The sequence below is a fragment of the Homo sapiens genome, chromosome 10 (genome assembly GCF_000001405.40).
Source record: "Homo sapiens chromosome 10, GRCh38.p14 Primary Assembly".
Taxonomy (NCBI): domain Eukaryota; kingdom Metazoa; phylum Chordata; class Mammalia; order Primates; family Hominidae; genus Homo; species Homo sapiens.
Genome location: NC_000010.11, coordinates 63,946,367 through 63,968,565, shown reverse-complemented (window position 1 = coordinate 63,968,565; position 22,199 = coordinate 63,946,367). Strand labels below are relative to the sequence as shown.

The 22,199-nt window shown below is 37.2% G+C and overlaps 1 long non-coding RNA gene across 5 annotated transcripts in view; it reads right to left on the bottom strand.

Moving 5' to 3' along the window:
• LOC124902439 (uncharacterized) overlaps positions 1 to 22,199 on the bottom strand; it is an 820,351-nt gene that overhangs the window by 724,374 nt on the left and 73,778 nt on the right. The window contains exon 2 of one of the 5 annotated variants that reach the window (XR_007062159.1): positions 15,272 to 15,299. The exons of the other annotated variants lie outside the window; for them this stretch is intronic. This is a non-coding gene — a long non-coding RNA (uncharacterized LOC124902439). The remainder of the gene's footprint in view (positions 1 to 15,271; positions 15,300 to 22,199) is intronic. 5 annotated transcript variants of the gene reach the window in all.

The window sequence follows — 22,199 nt, the reverse complement described above, 5'->3', positions numbered from 1 at the left end:
TACTAAAGTCATTTACCAGTTCCAGGAGCCTTTTGATGGAGTCTTTAGGGTTTTATAGGTATCAAATCATATCATCCATGAAGACAGTTTGAATTCCCCTCTTCCTATTTGGATGCCTTTTATTTCTGTCTCTTGCCTGATTGCTCTGGTAAGGACTTCCAGTACTATATTGAAAAGGAACGGTGAGAGTGGGCATTCTTGTCTTGTTCTAGTTCTCAAGGAGAATGCTTCTAGCTTTTGGCTGTTCATCGTGATGTTGGTTGTGGGTTTGTCATAGATGGCTCTTATTTGAGGTATAGTCCTTTGATGCCTAGTTTGCTGAGGGTTTCTATCATGAAGAAATGCTGGATCTTATCAAATGCTTTTCCTGCATCTATTGAGATGACCATATGTGTTTAATTCTGTCTATGTGGTGAATAACATTTGTTGATTTGTGTATGTTGAACCAACCTTGCATCCCAGGAATGAAGCCTACTTGATTGTGATGAATTAACTTTTTGATGTGCTGCTGTATTTGGTTTGCTAGTATCCTGTTGAGGATTTTTGTGTCTATGTTAATCAGGGATATTGGCTTATAGTTTTCTTTTTTCGTTGTGTGTTTGCCAGGTTTTGGCATCAGGGTAATGCTGGCTTTGTAGAATGAGTTAGGGAGGAGTTCCTCCTCCTCTATTTTTTTTTGAAATAGTTTCAGTAGGATTGGTACCAGCTCTTCTTTGTACCTCTGGTAGAATTCAACTATGAATCCATCTGTTATTATGGGCCTTTTATTGGTTGATAGGTTTTTTTATTACTGATTTAATTTCAGAACTCCATATTGGTCTGTTTAGGGTTTTCATTTCTTTTTGATTCAATCTTGGGAGGTTGTGTGTTTCCAGGAATTTATCCATTAAAAGAGTTGTTTAGTCCAATTATAGTTAACATAATTGTTTATATGATTGAGTTCAAATCTGCATAGGATAGAAGAGTTCTAGGTGTTCCACATTCCTACTTACATTTGAAATGACAGACAACTTTTAAACTTTATTCTGGTGAATGTGTAGTGGTATCTCACTGTGGTTTCAATATTCATTTTCCTGATAACTAATAATATTGAGCACTTCTTACATACTTATTGAAACACTTTCAGTCTCCTTTTGTGAAGGAGTCAATACCTGTTCCTTCCAAGGGTTGCTTTAAGAATATTTTTTAATCTGCATAATGTATAGTGTCAGCACATAATATCAACTGCTGTAATTCCTATTGTCATTATTGCCATGGATTGCTCTCCAATGTGGTGGACATTATGTCCTCTTTCTGCACCACTTCATTGCATGCTAGGCTTTGCTGTTAATTCCCTCAATTCCCACAGAAAACATTACCACCAGTCTTTTATGGAAACCAGACTTTTATTAAAGGCTTAGAGTCATGGTAGGAAATGACAGCATCATACAATATAGGCACTAGCTGAAAGTTAAATGTTAGACATCACTATCCTAAAACTCTTGGATAGTTCCTTTCATCATCTTGCTTATTCCTGGAGCTTCCTGTTCTCCTCAGTTTCTCCTTACCAGGTCTTAGATCCCTTAACTCTTCACTCCAGAGTTACTCATGGATAAACTGCTCTCTCTATTGTCTTGCACACTTCAACCCTTTTTAGACTTTTATTCTCTCTTTTCAGAAAATTTCCTACAAGTGAAGACTAGAGCTTTTCCTTTCATACTAAAAGATGCTCATCAAGATATTTATCAAAAACAAAGTGCCTTCTCTTGAGTTTGAAATGTTACCACTCTTTTGGATTGTCAAAATGTTTGTAATTAGTCACTATTTAATTACGAATGTTTCTGTTCTATCTTTAAGTATATATGTTATATCTGAATGTATTAATTAAGAGGGGACTATTCATCCCATGTTACAGCTAAAATAGCTGAGGCTCATTGATGAAGTAATGTTCCAAGTTGCACAAACATCAAACTTGAATTCAAACTCAAATGCACCTGACTCTAGAAATTTTTTCTCCATCCACTACACCACATGCTTCCCCCATGGAACTCCTGAGCTCCTGCACATTTCCTCCCTCTCTATCTTCCCAAGTTGAATTTCTTATTCAATTTTCTCTTGGGTCCTAACCCTTACTACTGTTTGACACATGAAATCATATCACTATAGGAAGTCACCAAACATCTGAGCCTCAGCAATTTACCTGTGAATTGGGAAGAGTAGCTACCTTTTGATTGCTAGAAGAATTCATTAAACTAACGTATTAAAATGTTCTATAAGCAGTAAACACTGGATTTTATTTCTAGCAGTGTGGTAGATTAGAAACTCCACCATTTAAATCTAAAAATACTGGATAAAACATTTAAAAAAAACCTTTTACTGAATGACTGAGCTGGTGATGTGGCAAGGGAATTTCTCAGAGAATAGAAATGGTTAGAAGGCATAAATTTACTTGGCTAAGGGAGAACTGAATCTGCCGTTTTCTCTGGAATATCTGCCTATCCCTATTGGCTCAGAGCCTCAATTTTAATAGATTATGTGTGCTGAGGCAGAAGACAAGACTCAGCTTGCAAATTCCCACACAAACATGGGATTTCTAAAACATGACACGTTCAATGAGTAAATCAGAAATAAATAACGAATCTGGCACAGATGACGATGAAGATACATGCCTACATAGGCCTTGGCTCTGGGTTGGAATGACAGTAGACAGAAGTTTATTTCTTGAGAATTCTCAAAAACCTCTTCTTCCATAGACTTGCAGTTGGACTTCATTCTATCTAAAACATCCAAGCCAATAATTTTGGCTAAAATGGTCCTGAACTGATAATGCCCCCACATGTCACCTATACACATATAAAAGAATTACTAAACCACACATGGATGCCTCTGTCACTTGGGAGGTAGTGCTCAGTGTTGACATGGTTCAACTCATAATCCTACACATCTGTCATCATGTCTAACAACATTCAGGTCCCGGGGAAATGTTTCTCCATATCCCTTGCTCTGTGTCCTGGAAACAAAAGGCAGCTGTGTTTCATTTCCAGGAAGGTCTGTGGATTTTGCCACTGCCAGTGGTGTCAAAGACTAACACCATTTTGGAGTCTAGGGGGATTTAGCTACAGATGTTGTTAAATTTTTAAAAAGACAATTTTGTCAAATTCCTCTTCCCAGAAAACACATATCCAGTGGATTTTTTGCATTAAAAAAATTATCCCATCTCCACAGTGCCCAGCATCTACATTTCTATTTCTCTTCAGGTTCCAATTCAAGGTTTTCTACATTGCTTCACAAATTAGTACAGCATTTGTGATAACTGCAGATGGCAGAGGAGGAACATCTGCAATACTTAACAATTCATATTTCTTTTATATTTGTATATATGTAGGTCTGTATACAACCACTAAAAATCATGGTAACAACAGTTTACATTTGCAACTAGGACACAGAATGCTAGAACTGTGAGTTGTATTTTCAGAAAACATTTAATACTTATATTTTTAAAGATAAATGCTAAGTTTCACTTACATTTTTCTTTAAAAGTTTACATTCATCATATAAATTATATGTTGCCTTCTAATTTTAATAGATAATTTTGAATATTCTGAAAGAAAACTTTGTAATAAGTAATTGTTTTGAAATGAAAGATTAAAAATAGATTTTATAGAGTGAATATAAACAAATAAAACAGCATTTATTTACTCATACAAACTTTGGCCCCTCAAGAGAACACCTAGATATGCATAATAATAATGAAATTCACTAATCTCTGATATTTTGACAACTTCCAGTCACCTAAAAAATTATATGTTTTCAAATACTTTTAGGTGTCATCATTATGAAGGTATATTTATCAAGGTAGGAGGATAAAACATTGCATTTAACAGTTTTTGGCTTAATTTATTACTTTTAAAAACTTAGACATATGGTATGTGAATTCCATCTGTACTCTTGCAAATGCTGTACTCATTACAAATGTTAGAAACAAGCCTGGCCAGGTCCCTGGAAAACGCAAAACCAACTTCTTTCTGGAAAAATCCACTTTACACTCAAACTTCAAGTAATTCCCACAGGTAAAGTTCTAAAGGTCATATTATAATTTTTAAAAATCACTAAGCACATGAGGAAATAGGCTATCACGATTGAGATATAGCAGAAAACACAAATTTGCAATATGACCAGCTAAGATTTAAGATACTAGAATTATTGGATATAATAAAAAATAATTATTTTAATATGGCTATAGTTAGGAAGTTAAGAGATTAAAGAGACACAAAGGATAGAGTAAGCCCAACATGTCCATCAGCATTCCAGAAGGAGCTAATTGAGAGAAGAGGGAATAATATTAATATGCATATATGAAAATCTGATATATGTCAGAGGGATGATGCAAATCAGTTTTTGAAAACATGGACAGCTCATTAAGGTATGCCAGAACAATTGATTAATTATCATGTGAAACAAAAAATGAACATGAATTCTTATTTTGAAACATACTCAAAAATATGTATACTTATATGTATATGCATCTATTTGAGATTTATATACATATACATGTACGTAAATATATACATGTACATATACCTGTATATAAACATATGTATATTTGTTCACATGTATATACACATATATAAATACATGTGAATAAATGTATATATGTATATAAGCATATGTAAATTTATAGACATATTTAAATACATACATATACATTTAAATATACATATATTTAAATATATACATATATTTAAATACATATACCTATATACATATACATATACACATATTTAAATATACATATATTTTAAAACATATACAGTTACACATATTTTTATATATATATTTGAATGGCATAATTTGAATGAGATTCTTCTAGTTAACGTAACCGGATAATTAATCTCAAGTGCAAAATATTCGTTGCCTACACATAAGAATGGATTAATTTTTCCCCACTGTCATGTTTATTGGCTTTTTTTTTTGAGAACATAAAGGTAACACAAGCTCATTTAGAAAACTAATGAAATATATATACATATAGGTATATCTGTGTGTATGCATATGTACCAAAAACATTTATTTTTGTTTTAATAGCAACCATTTAATACCAAAAAAAATATTTATTTTACATCTCTAAGTCCACAGCCCTTTTCTTGGTGCTAAAGGAAAAAAAAATCAGTAAGTTTCACTGAGTTTTGCTTTGACATATTAGCTTTTAATTCCTGAGAATCCGGAAGAGAATGTTACTTAGCAAATGGGAAACTTGCTGATCAGTTAAAGAAGTCTCTGGAAATTTAAGTGATTTCTACCCTACAATCACTAGGGAAGAAAAATAACTAGAAAATGGGGAAAATAAAGTCTGGCAAGTCTGCCCAGAGCCTGGAGAAAGAGAGACATACTCCCTCAAGAATACACAGCAGGTTGTCTGTCTTTTTGAAAATCTTGATTGCTCAGGGCCCATGATAGTTAGTGCAAGACCAGAAGGTAGCTTTCTGCAGGACCAGGTGTCACAGTTCCATGGAAACTTGAGGAAGTTCAAACATCTATTAAAGTGACAAAGTTTATAATAACTTAGTTGTTAAATGCCTTTTTGCTGTTCTCTGAACCCATGAACTGTCTTTCTTTCCTCTGTTTGGTGTCTAACATTTATCTCCTAATATATATATATATATATATATATATATATATATTTATTTATTTATTATTATTATTATACTTTAAGTTTTAGGGTACATGTGCACAATGTGCAGGTTTGTTATATATGTATACATGTGCCATGTTGGTGTGCTGCACCCATTAACTTGTCATTTAGCATTAGGTATATCTCCTAATGCTATCCCTCCCCGCTCCCCCCACCCCACAACAGTCCCCAGTGTGTGATGTTCCCCTTCCTGTGTCCATGTGTTCTCATTGTTCAATTCCCACCTGCGAGTGAGAACATGCGGTGTTTGGTTTTTTGTCCTTGTGATAGTTTGCTGAGAATGATGGTTTCCAGCTTCATCCATGTCCCTACAAAGGACATGAACTCATCATTTTTTATGGCTGCATAGTATTCCATGGCATATATGTGCCACATTTTCTTAATACAGTCTATCATTGTTGGACATTTGGGTTGGTTCCAAGTCTTTGCTATTGCGAGTAGTGCCACAATAAACATACGTGTGCATGTGTCTTTATAGCAGAATGATTTATAGTCCTTTGGGTATATACCCAGTAATGGGATTGCTGGGTCAAATGGTATTTCTAGTTCTAGATCCCTGAGGAATCACCACACTGACTTCCACAATGGTTGAACTAGTTTACAGTCCCACCAACAGTGTAAAAGTGTTCCTATTTCTCCACATCCTCTCCAGCACCTGTTGTTTCCTGACTTTTTAATGATCGCCATTCTAACTGGTGGGAGATGGTATCTCATTGTGGTTTTGATTTGCATTTCTCTGATGGCCAGTGATGATGAGCATTTTTTCATGTGTCTTTTGGCTGCATAAATGTCTTCTTTTGAGAAGTGTCTGTTCATATCCTTTGCCCACTTGTTGATGGGGTTGTTTTTTTCTTGTAAATTTGTTTGAGTTCATTGTAGATTCTGGATATTAGCCCTTTGTCAGATGAGTAGATTGCAAAAATTTTCTCCCATTCTGTAGGTCGCCTCTTCACTCTGATGGTAGTTTCTTTTGCTGTGCAGAAGCTCTTTAGTTTAATTAGATCCCATTTGTCAATTTTGGCTTTTGTTGCCATTGCTTTTGGTGTTTTAGATATGAAGTCCTTGCCCATGCCTATGTCCTGAATGGTATTGCCTAGGTTTTCTTCTAGGATTTTTATGGTTTTAGGTCTAACATGTAACTCTTTAATCCATCTTGAATTAATTTTTGTATAAGGTGTAAGGAAGGGATCCAGTTTCAGCTTTCTACATATGGCTAGCCAGTTTTCCCAGCACCATTTATTAAATAGGGAATCCTTTCCCCATTGCTTGTTTTTCTCAGGTTTGTCAAAGATCAGATGGTTGTAGATATGCGGCATTATTTCTGAGGGCTCTGTTCTGTTCCATTGGTCTATATCTCTGTTTTGGTACCAGTACCATGCTGTTCTGGTTACTGTAGCCTTGTAGTATAGTTTGAAGTCAGGTAGCATGATGCCTCCAGCTTTGTTCTTTTGGCTTAGGATTGACTTGGCGATGCGGGCTCTTTTTTGGTTCCATATGACCTTTAAAGTAGTTTTTTCCAATTCTGTGAAGAAAGTCATTGGTAGCTTGATGGGGATGGCATTGAATCTATAAATTACCTTGGGCAATATGGACATTTTCACGATATTGATTCTTCCTACCCATGAGCATGGAATGTTCTTCCATTTGTTTGTATCCTCTTTTATTTCGTTGAGCAGTGGTTTGTAGTTCTCCTTGAAGAGGTCCTTCACATCCCTTGTAAGTTGGATTCCTAGGTATTTTATTCTCTTTGAAGCAATTGTGAATGGGAGTTCACTCATGATTTGGCTCTCTGTTTGTCTGTGATTGGTGTATAAGAATGCTTGTGATTTTTGCACATTGATTTTGTATCCTGAGACTTTGCTGAAGTTGCTTATCAGCTTAGGGAGATTTTGGGCTGAGATGATGGGGTTTTCTAGATATACAATCATGTCATCTGCAAGCAGGGACAATTTGACTTCCTCTTTTATCTCCTAATTTTTATATGGCATCTGTATTAGTCTATTTTCATGCTGCTGATAAAGACATACCTGAGACTGGGAAGAAAAAGAGGTTTAATTGGACTTACAGTTCCACATGGCTGGGAAGGCCTCAGAATTGTGGAGGGAGGTGAAAGGTACTTCTTACATGGTGGTGGCAAGAGAAAATGAGTAAAATGCAAAAGCAGAAACCCCTGATGAAACCATCCAATCTCATGAGACTTATTTACTACCGCGAGTACAGTATGAGGGAAACCGCCCCCATGATTCAAATTATCTCTCACCAGGTCCCTCCCATAACACATGGGATTTATGGGAGTGCAATTCAAGATGAGATTTGGGTGGGGACACAGCCAAACCATATCAGCACCAGAAGAAAATTCAGACTTGGAGACAGAAAAAAATATAAGCAGCCTATTTGCAAACAGATTAGCATTTGATTTGTATGAGATTCTCCTAGTTAAATTAATCCAGTTATTAATCTCAAGCAGAAAATATCCCTTTCCTACTAAGAATGTATTATTTTTTTCCCACTGTTATATTTACTGGCTTTATTTTGAGAACATAAAGGTAACACAAGCTCATTTAGAAGTATGAGTAAAAAGTAAAAAGAAGACAACAAAATTTACTCATAATCTTACTACCAAAGATAATAATACTTTTTAAAAATCTATTGTCTTTCCTTTCTCTATAAATACACATTTTTTATTTTTGGAAAGTTTAATAAAATGCAAACACTGTTTTTTTTATTTTACACCAACATTAACATCTTTAAAATTCTTCAAAAACATATTCTTTTTCTTGAGATGGAGTCTCGCTCTGTTGCCCAGGCTGAAGTGCAGTGGCTCAATCTCGGCTCACTGCAAACTCTACCTCCCAGGTTGAAGCAATTCTCCTACCTCAGCCTCCCGAGTAGCTGGGACTACAGGTGTGTGCCACCATGCCCAGCTAATTTTTTGTATTTTTAGTAGAGACGGGGTTTCACCATGTTGGCCAGGATGGTCTCGATCTCCTAACCTTGTGATCTGCCCTCCTCGGCCTCCCAAAGTGCCAGGATTACAGGCAAAAACATCATTTTTAATCACTACAAATTTATTCCACCATTCCCCTTTTTTCATTTTTAAGTGGGATCATATTTTTACATTTTCTTTTTTCTTTGTGTTTGATTCCTTTTTTAGGATTTACTTGTGAAAGCACAATTTTCCTCCCCACAACAGTGTTTAACAGTTTAGAGATCTCTACAGTCTTCTTTGTGAAATTTTGTACCCAATATTTTTGAAATTTTTTCCAATTTGACAGGTAAAAGTTGTATCCCTTGTTTAATATTTATTATAATTATTACTAGGGTTTCTGACTTATTACTCCAGACTTCTGCATGCTTCTGTTTCCCTCCCCCTTCTGAATCTGTATGACCCTTCTTTCACTTCCAAATGTAAATCCCAGACACAGAGCTCTACCTTTCCCACGACCCCATCGACTAATAAACTGCCCCCCTAGACAAACACCCAGGCAGAGGTTATGGCCCTCAATACCTAGATATGGGGATATTGATGGTATAGAATAAACAGCTCCCTTCACTTGCACTGGAAGTATAGAACCAGCCAGATGGAATGGACTTCAACTCAGATGTCTTGGAGTACGTCTCAGCTCACGAGAGCCAACTATACATTTCTTTTCTCAATTCCATGTTCAATGATGTCACATTGGCTGCTCAAAATTGTTCATGGTGAGAAGATTTCCACCATTAATCAGCAAATGCTACAAATTAAAGCCTCCCAGTGCGCCACCACCCCACCAACACCCCACCGAGAGACAGTTGTTAGACATTTAACAGCATTCTGCTACCTACTTCCACTTCAGGCTATGGCAGATAAGCTAGTATCAGACTAACCTTCCTGCTTATAACACCTAGAAAAGCTGTATACATTTTTTTTATTGTTTGACGGAACATTACCACGAAGCCAAGATCTGGGTCTAAGATCCCAGAGAGAAAGAAGTGTTGAGAAGTGAGCCTGATGTTACACTCCCCTGACACATCTGCTGATGCCCAGGCAGCATGTGAGCCACTAAGCAGAAAGTCATGGCTAGCAGGTATAGGAGCTGAGCAGAGCTTTCAGCAGTCTCAGGGGCTGCAGAGAAAAATCCGAATTTTTTCAGGACCTACCAAAGAGGAGGGTTCCTAATAAACACTCAGGCTTTCATTTGGGATTTCTGAAGGGCAATACTCCAGGAATTTAGGTAACAGGAGCCACCAAACCCTCAAAAAGAATAAAGTTTGGCTCAGATTTAGATCAATTCCAGACTAAAGTAAGGTAAACCTCCTCATCCTAACTGCCTGCTAGTCACGAAAGTAAATCCTCTTGAGGGCTTATAGTAGAACCAATAACCAACAATAGCTAGCAATAAATCTACTAAAGATCTACAAAGCTACAGGAGAATTGTAGATCTAAATGTGAAAGGCTAACAATAGAGCTTCTAGTAGATGTCACTGAAATTCTACATGGTATTGGAAGTATTTCAAAACACATGTACACCATTGTCCATAGCAGTATTATTTGTAATATTTAAAAAGTGGAAATAATAGAATGCATAAATTGTGGTATATTCATTCATTGGAGTACTACACCACAGTAGTATAAAAGCACAAACTACTGCTAAACACAACAGGATGAATGAATGTCACAGACATAGTGCTGAATGAAAGAAGCCAATGCAAAAGAGTATATACTGTATGATTCCATTTATATAAAGTTTAAAAATGGGCAAAACCAATCTATGATGTTAATAATTTAGCAGGAGAGTAACAAGAAGTATGAGGGGGCTTCCAAAAATGCTTGTATGTTTTGTTTCTTGATCTGAGCAATGTTTACAAGCCTTGTTCCTGTGAAAATATAATAAGCAATCGACTTATGGCTTATATGCTTCTCTGTATAAATGTTATATTTAAAGTTTATTAAAGGATATCTAAGAGATAGCACTGAAACTCTTCGCAGAGGTGAAACATGCCACCTGAATCAGATAGGATCCATGATGCAAGTGACAGAAAAATCTAATTCAGACTGACTTTGAAACTAGTATGAAAGTCCAAAGAAAATCTGCAAATGACCAACAAACATATGAAAAGATGTTCAACATCACTGGTCATTGAGGAAATGCAAATCAAAATCACAATGACATGCCACCTCACACCCATTAGGATGGCTTAAATGAAAAAGATAATAGCAAAACTTGGCTAAGATGTGGAGAAATTGGAACACTCTCATACACTGCTGGTGAGAATGTAAAATGGTACACCCACATAGGAAAACTGGCAGTTCCTCACAGTGTTCAACAGACTTACCATATGATCCAGTGGTTCCATTCCTAGGTACATACTCAAATGATAACATATATCCATAAGAAAGCTTACATAGTAATGTTGAAATGTCATTATTCACAATAGCCAAAAATGGAGACAAGCCAAATAGTATTTGGCAATTAAAAAAAAACGAATGAAATACTGATGATACATGCTAAAACATGGATGAACCTTGAACTTGTGATGCATAAAAGAAGCCAGTCGCAAAAGACCACATATACATATTTACATGGAATGTCCAAAACAGACAACTCTAAAGAGACAAAGAGTAGATTAGCAATTGTCATGGCCTAGGGCTGACAGTAGGGAGAGATCAGGAAAGGGAGGTTGAGGAGGAATGGGGAATAATCACAAATGGGAATGGGGCTTCCATTTGCAGTGATGAAAATATTCTAAAGTTGATCGTGGTGAAGGTTGCACAACTCTATATATTTACTTACATTTTAAAGGAGGATTTATTTGAGAAAAATAAAAACACAACAGAACATGGGCCACTTTACACAATAAAATAGACAATAGTATACATATTTTTGTAAGTTTAAACACTCAGGTATACCAATGACAATCACATGGGTATAACAGTTATGAATAGATAAATTGTGTTCATAAAGAAATAGGTCAAAGGGAAATATATAAATGCCTATTACTCTGGTTGGCAATTGTGCGTACCTAGCTTTGTAAATGCGATCATACCATGATGAACAACCTGTCTTTTGATGAAATCAGTCAACAACCACTGTGGGTCACCCCCATATATGCAGTCACCCAGAGAGCCAGGATCTTAAAAAATGTTATCTTTCACAAATGCAGGCGTACAAAAAGGATATCTCTTCATTTGCTGAGGAAGTTTCAACGTTTTTTACACGCACAAACACAGTGCTTACACACAAATTCAAAATTGTGATAGATCACTTTCATGGAGTCAAATTTGCCAAAAAAATGCATAAAACTGGAACTCTCTAAAACTCTCTATATAGTTTATACCTCCAGTATTGAAATAATGCAAAAACAAAACACATAGCATAGCAAATTGTAAAATAATAATGCTGACAATTTAAAATAGTGCAAAAAACATTTAAAAGAAAAAGAAAAACAAAAAACTTAAAAGAAAATTCAACGTATGGAAAAAATGTACTATAGATTATGGGCAATTGCAAGGAAATAGTTAATAAGAGCTGACTGACTTTCACAATCATTATATTTTGAAGTCTTACATCATGAAGAATAGCTGCTTTTTATCTTTCAGGACATGGCTGTCTCAGATAATATTTTCACAATCATTTTCTATGAAGTACTGCTCTTTTTGAAATTCTTCTATTTCTAATTCTTTAAAAAGTGTGTCTTTTTATCATACCATGCACATGATTATTTTTGAACCAGTCAGTAACATCTCTGACTTCTTCAGGCAAATGTGCCTTCAATGCGTTAAAATCTCCTGGAACGTCATTAGCCAGGAGGAATGATGCATTTTTAAACTGAGGTTTTTGTCATCACCATATTATGGCTAATCCACTCATCTGAATTTTCTGCCAAATGCAAATAAAGATAAAAACAAGGTGATAGTTCTACTTAACATGGTGCAACTAACATGACGTAACTATCCTGCATACAACTGAAAGCACATTAATCCCTTCCAAAGAATTCAGCTTTCAGGATTTTAACATTTGGGCTGTTAAGCTTGAGATTGTAATTTTGAGGATTTTAGACATTAGGGATTTTAATCTTTAGAGATTTCACATTTGAGATTATGGCTTTCAAGATCGTGTCTTTTGGGATTATGATCCAAACCATCCCAAGACACAACAATATTGAATTTGGGCCAGTTAAGTGTTCAAGTGAAAAGAAGAGTTGCCTTCTCTCACTTTAAATCAAAAGCTTTCTATGTTTAAGTTTAGTGAGAAAGGCATGTCAAAAGCTAAGATTGGCATAAGAGGCCTAGGTTTTGGCCTAACAGCCAAGTTGTAAATGTAAAGGAAAAGTTCTTGAAGAAAATTAAAAGGGCTACTCCAGTGAATGCACAAATGATAAGAAAGTGAAACAGCATTGTTTGATATGGAGAAAGTTTTAGTTGTCTGGATAGAAGATAAAAACAGCCACAACACTTCCTTCAGTCAAAGACTAACCCAGAGTAAGACCCTAACTCTCTTCAGTTGTATGAAGGCTGAGAGAGGTGAGGAAGCTGCAGGAGAAAAGTTTGAAGCTACTAGAAGTGGGTTAATGAAGCCATTTCCAGAACTTAAAAGTGCAAGGTGAAGCAGGAAGTGCTGATGCAGAGGCTGTAACAAGTTATCCAGAAGATCTGGCTAAGATAACTGATGAATGTGGCTACACTAAACAACACATTTTCAATGTAGACGAAACAGTCCTATATTGGAAGAAGATACCTAGGACTTTTATAACTGGAGAAAAGAAGTCAGTGCCTAACTCCAAAGTTTCAAACAACAAGCCTGACTCTCTAACTAGGGGCCAATGCAGCTGGTAACATTAAATTGGAGCCAATGCTCATTGACCATTCTGAAATTTCCAGGGTCCTTAAAAATTATGTTAACTCTTTCCTGCCTAAGCTCTATAAGTGGGACAACAAAGCCTAGATAATAATAGGACATGTATTCACAGCGTGGTGTACTGAATATCTTAAGCCCACTGTTGAGACCTACTGCTCAGGAAAAAGAAAATCCCTTCAAAATATTACTATTCATTGACAATGCATCTGGTCACCCAAGAGCTCTGATGGAGATATGCAAGGACATTAATGTTTTCATGCCTAACACAACATTAATTCTGCCATGGATCAAAGAGTAATTCTAACTTTCAAGTCTTAGTATTTAGGAAAGCCATTTTGGTTTTTGGGTCTTTTGTTTTGTTTTGTTTTGTTTGGGTTTTTTTTCGAGGCAGAGTCTCCCTCTGTCTCCCAGTCTGGATAACAGTGCCACAATCTCAGCTCACTGCAACCTCCGCCTCCTGGGTTCAAGAATTCTCCTGCCTCAGCCTCCCAAGTAGCTGGGATTACAGGTGCCCACCACCACACCCAGCTAATTTTTGTATTTTTAGTAGACATGAGGTTTCACCATGTTGGCCAGGCTGGTCATGAACTCCTGACCTCAAGTGATTCACCCTTCCTAGCCTCCCAAAGGGCTGGGATTACAGGCATGAGCCACTGCACCCATCCTGGAAATACATTTTGTAATGCTATAGCTGCCTTGGATACTGATTCCTCTAATAAATCTGGGCAAAGTTAATTGAAAATCTTCATGAAAAGATTCACCTTCTAGATACCATTAAGAACATTTATAATTCATGGGAGGAAGTCAAAATATCAATACTAATAAGAGTTTAGAAGTTGATTCCAATTCTCATGGACGACTGAGTGGTCTAAGACTTCAGTAGAGAAGATAACCACAGATGTAGCAGAAATAGTAGGAGAACTAGAATTAGAAGTACAGCCTGAAAATGTGACTAAATTGTTGCAATCTCATGATAAAACTTGAATGGATGAGGACTTGCTTCTTATGGATGAGCAAAGAAAGTGGTTTCTTAAGATGGAAATTACTCCTGATAAAGATGCTTTGAACATTGTTGAAATGAAAACAAAGGATTTAGAATAGTAAAAAAGGCATTTAGAATATTACATAAATTTAATTGATAAACAAGCAGCAGAGTTTGAGAGAATTTACTCCAATAAAACGTTATCCAACAGGATCACATGTTACAGAGAAATCTTTCATGAAAAGAGTCAATCAATGTGGTAAATTTTACTGTTGTCTTATTTTAAGAAATCGCCACAGCCACGCCAATCTTCAGCAACATCACCCTGATCAGTCAGCAGCCATTAACGTGGAGGCAACACCTTTCACCAATAAGAAGATTATGACTCGCTGAAGGCTCAAGTGATCATTAGCATTTTTTAGCAGTAAAGTATTACTAATTAAGGTATTTGCATTTTTATAAATAATGATATTGCACACTTAGTGGATTACAGTATAGAACAAATGTAACTTTTATATGCCCTGGGAATATAAAAACAATGTGTGTGACTCACTTTATTGCAATATTTGCTTTATTTTAGTGGTCTAGAACTGAACCCATGATATTGCCAAGATATACCTGTACTTAGTTTCTGACCTATTCACTAATTTATCAGTATAGGTGAATGCCACCTTCAAGTATTCAATTGAACACCTAGGTCACCAAATATATATAAAAACATAAAAGAAGACCAAAACTATGTCTACCATTAGAATTGTGATCAAAAGCATGTTTACTTACAATTTCTATTTTGGCCTTCACCTCAAACCTGAAAGATAAGCAGGGTGGGTATTATTAACCACATTTTATAGATTAGTAAACCTAGGATCAGAAAGCTTTTGCCCTACTTTTTAATTGGTGACAAAGCACAAACTGGAACAATTATTTCCTGGCCCTTTACATATGAGTGTCACTACTGAACCATCCAGTGTGGCAAGCATTAAAATGTTTTCCCTAAACTTGAAGATGCAATGACCCATCCACACTTTTGCTTGATTAATCACTAAGGAACATAAAATCACATTAAACATTTCTATGCGACAATGCTAGGCATTCAGTAACTACCGACAGATCCATTCATGTGACTGTGAGGTCGTGAAACACAGAAAACCAATTAGTTGTCTACCTACCATTCAAATTTATGTCACCCTTTAGTCACTTATTCTAGCCATCTGAGCTAATTCATGGTTTTTGCAATTAAAAAAATACTGAAACATTTCTAAATCTAAGGACATACTTTGAGTGAACACCAAACAGTTTGTATGGTAGATTGGGTTTTTTTTTTTTTTTTTTAACTCAGGTAACTAGCAAACTTTATGTTTAAAAAAAAAAACTCACCGTGTTACTGATAATCGAAAATGGATTTACTTAGCTGGGTAGCTTTAATTAGTTTGCTGGTACTCCAAAGACTTTTGAAAGAATGGGATTTTTTTCTAATACCTGTAATGCATACAAGTGTTAAATCAAAGCCAACTCCAGCAAAATCTAATTCTAAAAGCCCCAGAGTAAAATCAAGATAAAATAATTTACACCACAACCACTGCATCAAAATAGAAAGAAGTCTCTGAATAGTCCAATAGCTACCACCACTATGATTTTCCAAAGAAAAACAGAATTTAAGATTTTTCTAATAAATCCCACATCTGTTACATTTCTGTTGCTCTCAGCTTGTCTAAAAGGGTTATTACTTCTAAAGCATATCAATTTAACAAGCATATCATATAGTAAAGACAGACGGAAACATACTAAAATGAAAAGAGAGACAACTCCTTGATGACAAAATTATATGTGTCTTTCTTTTTCTTTTCAAATATACACTTAATGTTGCTATAAGATTATTACAGTCCCCCCACACTCCATCCCCAGCTCTTGGTTCTTCAGCTTTGGCTTCCCTGGTTCTGAGGCCTTTAGACTTGGACTGAGCCATGCTACCAGCTTCCCTGGTTCTCCGGCTTGCAGATGGCCTATCCTAGGATTTATAGTTAAGATTGTTATTTAATAACTAAAAAGCAAGAAAAACTATCAGGCTTACCAGGGACAGTGTCTCAGCCTTAGTGTAGCACCACTTAGAGAATTAGGACTGTTGCTGTGCATGGTCAGCTCTGCACCCACCTATTCTTTGACCCCAGAGGGCTCTCTCCATTTCACTGGGTCTGTGCTTCTCTACCAATGAAATGATGATACATAAAATGACCTATTCTACCTCATATATTAGAAGAGCACAAAAAGGATTCACACAAATATGCAGCTATCCAATTCAGGCGAAGAAGGTTTGGCAAGTTGGAAGTTGCTTTTGAAAACCAAGTAGACAAAACACTGTACTAGGGATTCTATTCAGTGCAATAAAGAAAAAAAAGGCAGAAGGATTGAAAGACAAGAAGAAAACTGCTGTCACTGATTGCAGATACACTAATGTGTGAGTAGAAAATAAAAAAAAATTTACAGATAATGCATTGAAATTCATTAGTGAATTTGGCAAGTTTCCTAGATAAAAGGCCAAAAAAAAGGTAATTATTCTATGTACTAGCAAATAAATAGAAAACAATGTTTTAAACGCCATTATACCTGCATCTTAAAAACTTAAACACGTAGGAATAAATCTAACAAAAGATGTACAAGACTTCTACATAGAAGCCTATAAAACACTGATTGAAAGAGATACTGGTATAAGAAGTCAGTTGTCTCCAGATCCCAGCAGGGTGTTTTTTATTTTATTTTTAAATTGAGAACTGATTCAAAAATTTTTTTCTTTCTTTCTTTTTCTGTGACTCAAAATTGTATGTGGAAATGCAAAAGAGCAACGATAGCCAAGACAAATTTGAAGAGGAAGATCAAAATGGGAGGATTTACACTACCCAGATATCAAGATTTTTAAATCTTTAGTAATTAAAACAGAATAGACAAATAGACCACTGGAGCAGAAGAGAAAGTCGAGAAACCGGCCCACGGTTTTATGGAGAATTAATTTATGTCAAGGGTGGCACTGCACAGCAGTGGGTAGAGGAGTTTATTTTCAGTAATGGTGCTGAGTAAATTGGATATTCTTATGAGAGGGGGAAGAAACCCTCACCCCTACCTCATGCCATAGACAAAAAATTAATGTCAGGTTAATTTTAGATCTAAATATAAAAGTTAAAACAACAGAGATTCTAGATGAAATAACTTCATAACCTGGAGGTTAGGGAATAGATCTCAGAAATAGTATACAAAAAGCATTTAAAGAAAATGACTCATAATTAGACTACGTTAAGGAAAATAACTAGGAATAGGAACACCTCCAGTCTACAGCTCCCAGTGTGAGAGACGCAGAAGATGGGTGATTTCTGCATTTCCAACTGAGGCACCGGGTTCATCTCACTGGGTAGTGTTGGAAAGTGGGTGCAGGACAGTGGGTGCAGCGCACCGAGCGTGAGCCAAAGCAGGGCGAGGCATCGCCTCATCCGGGAAGCGCAAGGGGTCAGGGAATTCCCTTTCCTAGTCAAAGAAAGGGGTGACAGACAGCACCTGGAAAATCGGGTCACTCCCACCCTAATACTGCGCTTCTCCAACAGTCTTAGCAAATGGCACACCAGGAGATTATATCCCGCGCCTGGCTTGGAGGGTCCTACGCCCACGGAGCTACGCTCATTGCTAGCACAGCAGTCTGAGATCAAACTGCAAGGCGGCAGCGAGGCTGGGGGAGGGGCCCCCGCCATTGCCAAGTCTTGAGTATGTAAACAAAGCAGCCAGGAAGCTCAAACTAGGTGGAGCCCACCGCAACTCAAGGAGGCCTGCCTGCCTCTGTAGACTCCACCTCTGGGGGCAGGGCATAGCCAAACCAAAGGCAGCAGAATCCTCTGCAGACTTAAATGTCCCTGTCTGACAGCTTTGAAGAAAGTAGTGGTTCTCCCAGCACGCAGCTGGAGATCTGAGAACAGACAGACGGCCTCCTCAAGTGGGTCCCTGAGCCCTGAGCATCCAAACTGGGAGGCACCCCCTATTAGGGGCAGACTGACACCTCACACGGCCGGGTACTGCTCTGAGACAAAACTTCCAGAGGAATGATCAGGCAGCAACATTTGCTGTTCACCAATATCTGCTGTTCTGCAGCCTCCGCTGCTGATACCCAGGCAAACATGGTCTAGAGTGGACCTCCAGCAAACTCCAACAGACCTGCAGCTGAGGGTCCTGTCTGTTAGAAGGAAAACTAACAAACAGAAAGGACATCCACACCAAAACCCCATCGGTACGTCACCATCATCAAAGACCAAAGGTAGATAAAACCACAAAGATGAGGAAAAAACAGAGCAGGAAAACTGGAAACTCTAAAAATCAGAGCGCCTCTCCTCCTCCAAAGGAATGCAGCTTCTCACCAGCAACAGAACAAAGCTGGATGGAGAATGACTTTGATTAGTTGAGAGAAGAAGGCTTCAGATGAACAAACTACTCCGAGATAAAGGAGGAAGTTCAAACCCATGGCAAAGGAGTTAAAAACCTTGAAAGAAAATTAGACGAATGGCTAACTAGAATAACCAATGCAGAGAAGTCCTTAAAGGACCTGATGGAGCTGAAAACCAAGGCACGAGAACTACATGACGAATGCACAAGCCTCAGTAGCCGATTCGATGAACTGGAAGAAAGGGTATCAGTGATGGAAGATCAAATGAATGAAATGAAACGAGAAGAGAAGATTAGAGAAAAAAGAATAAAAAGAAATGAACAAAGCCTCCAAGAAATATGGGACTATGTGAAAAGACCAAATCTACATCCGATTGGTGTACCTGAAAGTGACGGGGAGAATGGAACCAAGTTGGAAAACACTCTGCAGGATATTATCCAGGAGAACTTCCCCAGTCTAGCAAGGCAGGCCAACATTCAAATTCAGGAAATACAGAGAATGCCACAAAGATATTCCTCGAGAAGAGCAACTCCAAAACACATAATTGTCAGATTCACCAAAGTTGAAATGAAGGAAAAAATGTTAAGGGCAGCCAGAGAGAAAGGTCGGCTCACCCACAAAGGGAAGCCCATCAGACTAACAGTTGATCTCTTGGCAGAAACTCTACAAGCCAGAAGAGAGTGGGGGCCAAAATTCAACATTCTTAAAGAAAAGAATTTTCAACCCAGAATTTCATTTCCAGCCAAACTAAGCTTCATAAGTGAAGGAGAAATAAAATCCTTTACAGACAAGCAAATGCTGAGAGATTTTGTCACCACCAGGCCTGCCCTAAAAGAGCTCCTGAAGGAAGCACTAAACATGGAAAGGAACAACCGGTACCAGCCACTGAAAAAACATGCCAAATTGTAAAGACCATCAAGGCTAGGAAGAAACTGCATCAACTAACAAGCAAAATAACCAGCTAACATCATAATGACAGGATCAAATTCACATATAACAATATCAACCTTAAATGTAAATGGGCTAAATGCTCCAATTAAAAGATACAGACTGGCAAATTGGATAAAGAGTCAAGACCCATCAGTGTGCTGTATTCAGGAGACCCATTTCACGTGCAGAGACACACATAGGGTCAAAATAAAGGGATGGAGGAAGATCTACCAAACAAATGGAACACAAAAAAAGGCAGGGGTTGCTATCCTAGTCTCTGATAAAACAGTCTTTAAACCAACAAAGATCAAAACAGACAAAAAAGGCCATCACATAATGGTAAAGGGATCAATTCAACAAGAAGGGCTAATTATCCTAAATATATATGCACCCAATACAGGAGCATCCAGATTCATAAAGCAAGTCCTTAGTGACCTATAAAGAGACTTAGACTCCCACACAATAATAATGGGAGACTTTAACACCCCACTGTCAACATTAGATCAACAAGACAGAAAGTTAACAAGGATATCCAGGAACTGAACTCAGCTCTGCACCAAGTGGACCTAATAGACATCTACAGAACTCTCCACCCCAAATCAACAGATTATATATTCTTTTCAGCACCACACCACACCTATTCCAAAATTGACCACATAGTTGGAAGTAAACCACTCCTCAGCAAATGTAAAAGAACAGAAATTACAACAAACTGTCTCTCAGACCACGGTGCAATCAAACTAGAACTCAGGATTAAGAAACTCACTCAAAACTGCTCAACTACATGGAAACTGAACAACCGGCTCCGGAATGACTACTGGGTACATAACGAAATGAAGGCAGAAATAAAGATGTTCTTTGAAACCAACGAGAACAAAGACACAACATACCAGAATCTCTGGGACACATTTAAAGCAGTGTGTAGAGGGAAATTTATAGCACTAAATGCCCACAAGAGAAAGAAGGAAAGATCTAAAACTGATACCCTAACATCACAATTAAAAGAACTAGAGAAGCAAGAGCAAACACATTCAAAAGCTAGCAGAAGGCAAGAAATAACTAAGATCAGAGCAGAACTGAAGGAAATAGAGACACAAAAAACCCTTCAAAAAAAATCAATGAATCCAGGAGCTGGTTTTTTGAAAAGATCAACAAAATTGATAGACCGCTAGCAAGACTAATAAAGAAGAGAAAAGAATCAAATAGATAGACGCTATAAAAAATGATAAAGGGGATATCACCACCGATCCCACAGAAATACAAACTAGCATCAGAGAATACTATAAACACCTCCCTGCAAATAAACTAGAAAATCTGGAAGAAATGGATAAATTCCTCAACACATACACCCTCCCAAGACTAAACCAGGAAGAAGTTGAATCTCTGAATAGACCAATAACAGGCTCTGAAATTGAGGCAATAATTAACAGCCTACCAACCAAAAAAAGACCAGGACCAGATGGATTCACATCCGAATTCTACCACAGGGACAAGGAGGAGCTGGTACCATTCCTTCTGAAACTATTCCAATCAATAGAAAAAGAGGGAATCCTCCCTAACTCATTTTATGAGGCCAGCATCATCCTGATACCAAAGTCTGGCAGTCACATAACAAAAAAAGAGAATTTTAGACCAATATCCCTGATGAACATCGATGGAAAAATCCTCAATAAAATACTGGCAAACTGAATCCAGCAGCACATCAAGAAGCTTATCCACCACAATCAAGCGGGCTTCATCCCTGGGATGCAAGGCTGGTTCAACACATGAAAATCAATAAATGTAATCCAGCATATAAACAGAACCAACGACAAAAACCACATGATTATCTCAATAGATGCAGAAAAGGCCTTTGACAAAATTCAACAACCTTCATGCTAAAAACTCTCAATAAATTAGGTATTGTATTGATGGGATGTATCTCAAAATAATAAGAGCTATCTATGACAAACCCACAGCCAATATCATACTGAATGGACAAAAACTGGAAGCATTCCCTTTGAAAACTGGCACAAGACAGGGATGCCCTCTCTCATCACTCCTATTCAATATAGTGTTGGAGGTTCTGGCCAGGGCAATCAGGCAGGAGAAGGAAATAAAGGGTATTCAATTAGGAAAAGATGAAGTCAAATTGTCCCTGTTTGCAGATGACATGATTGCACATCTAGAAAATCCCATCGTCTCAGCCCAAAATCTCCTTAAGCTGATAGGCAACTTCAGCAAAGTCTCAGGATACAAAATCAATGTGCAAAAATCACAAGCATTCTTTCACACCAATAGCAGACAAACAGAGAGCCAAATCATGAGTGAACTCCCATTCACAATTGCTTCAAAGAGAATAAAATACCTAGGAATCCAACT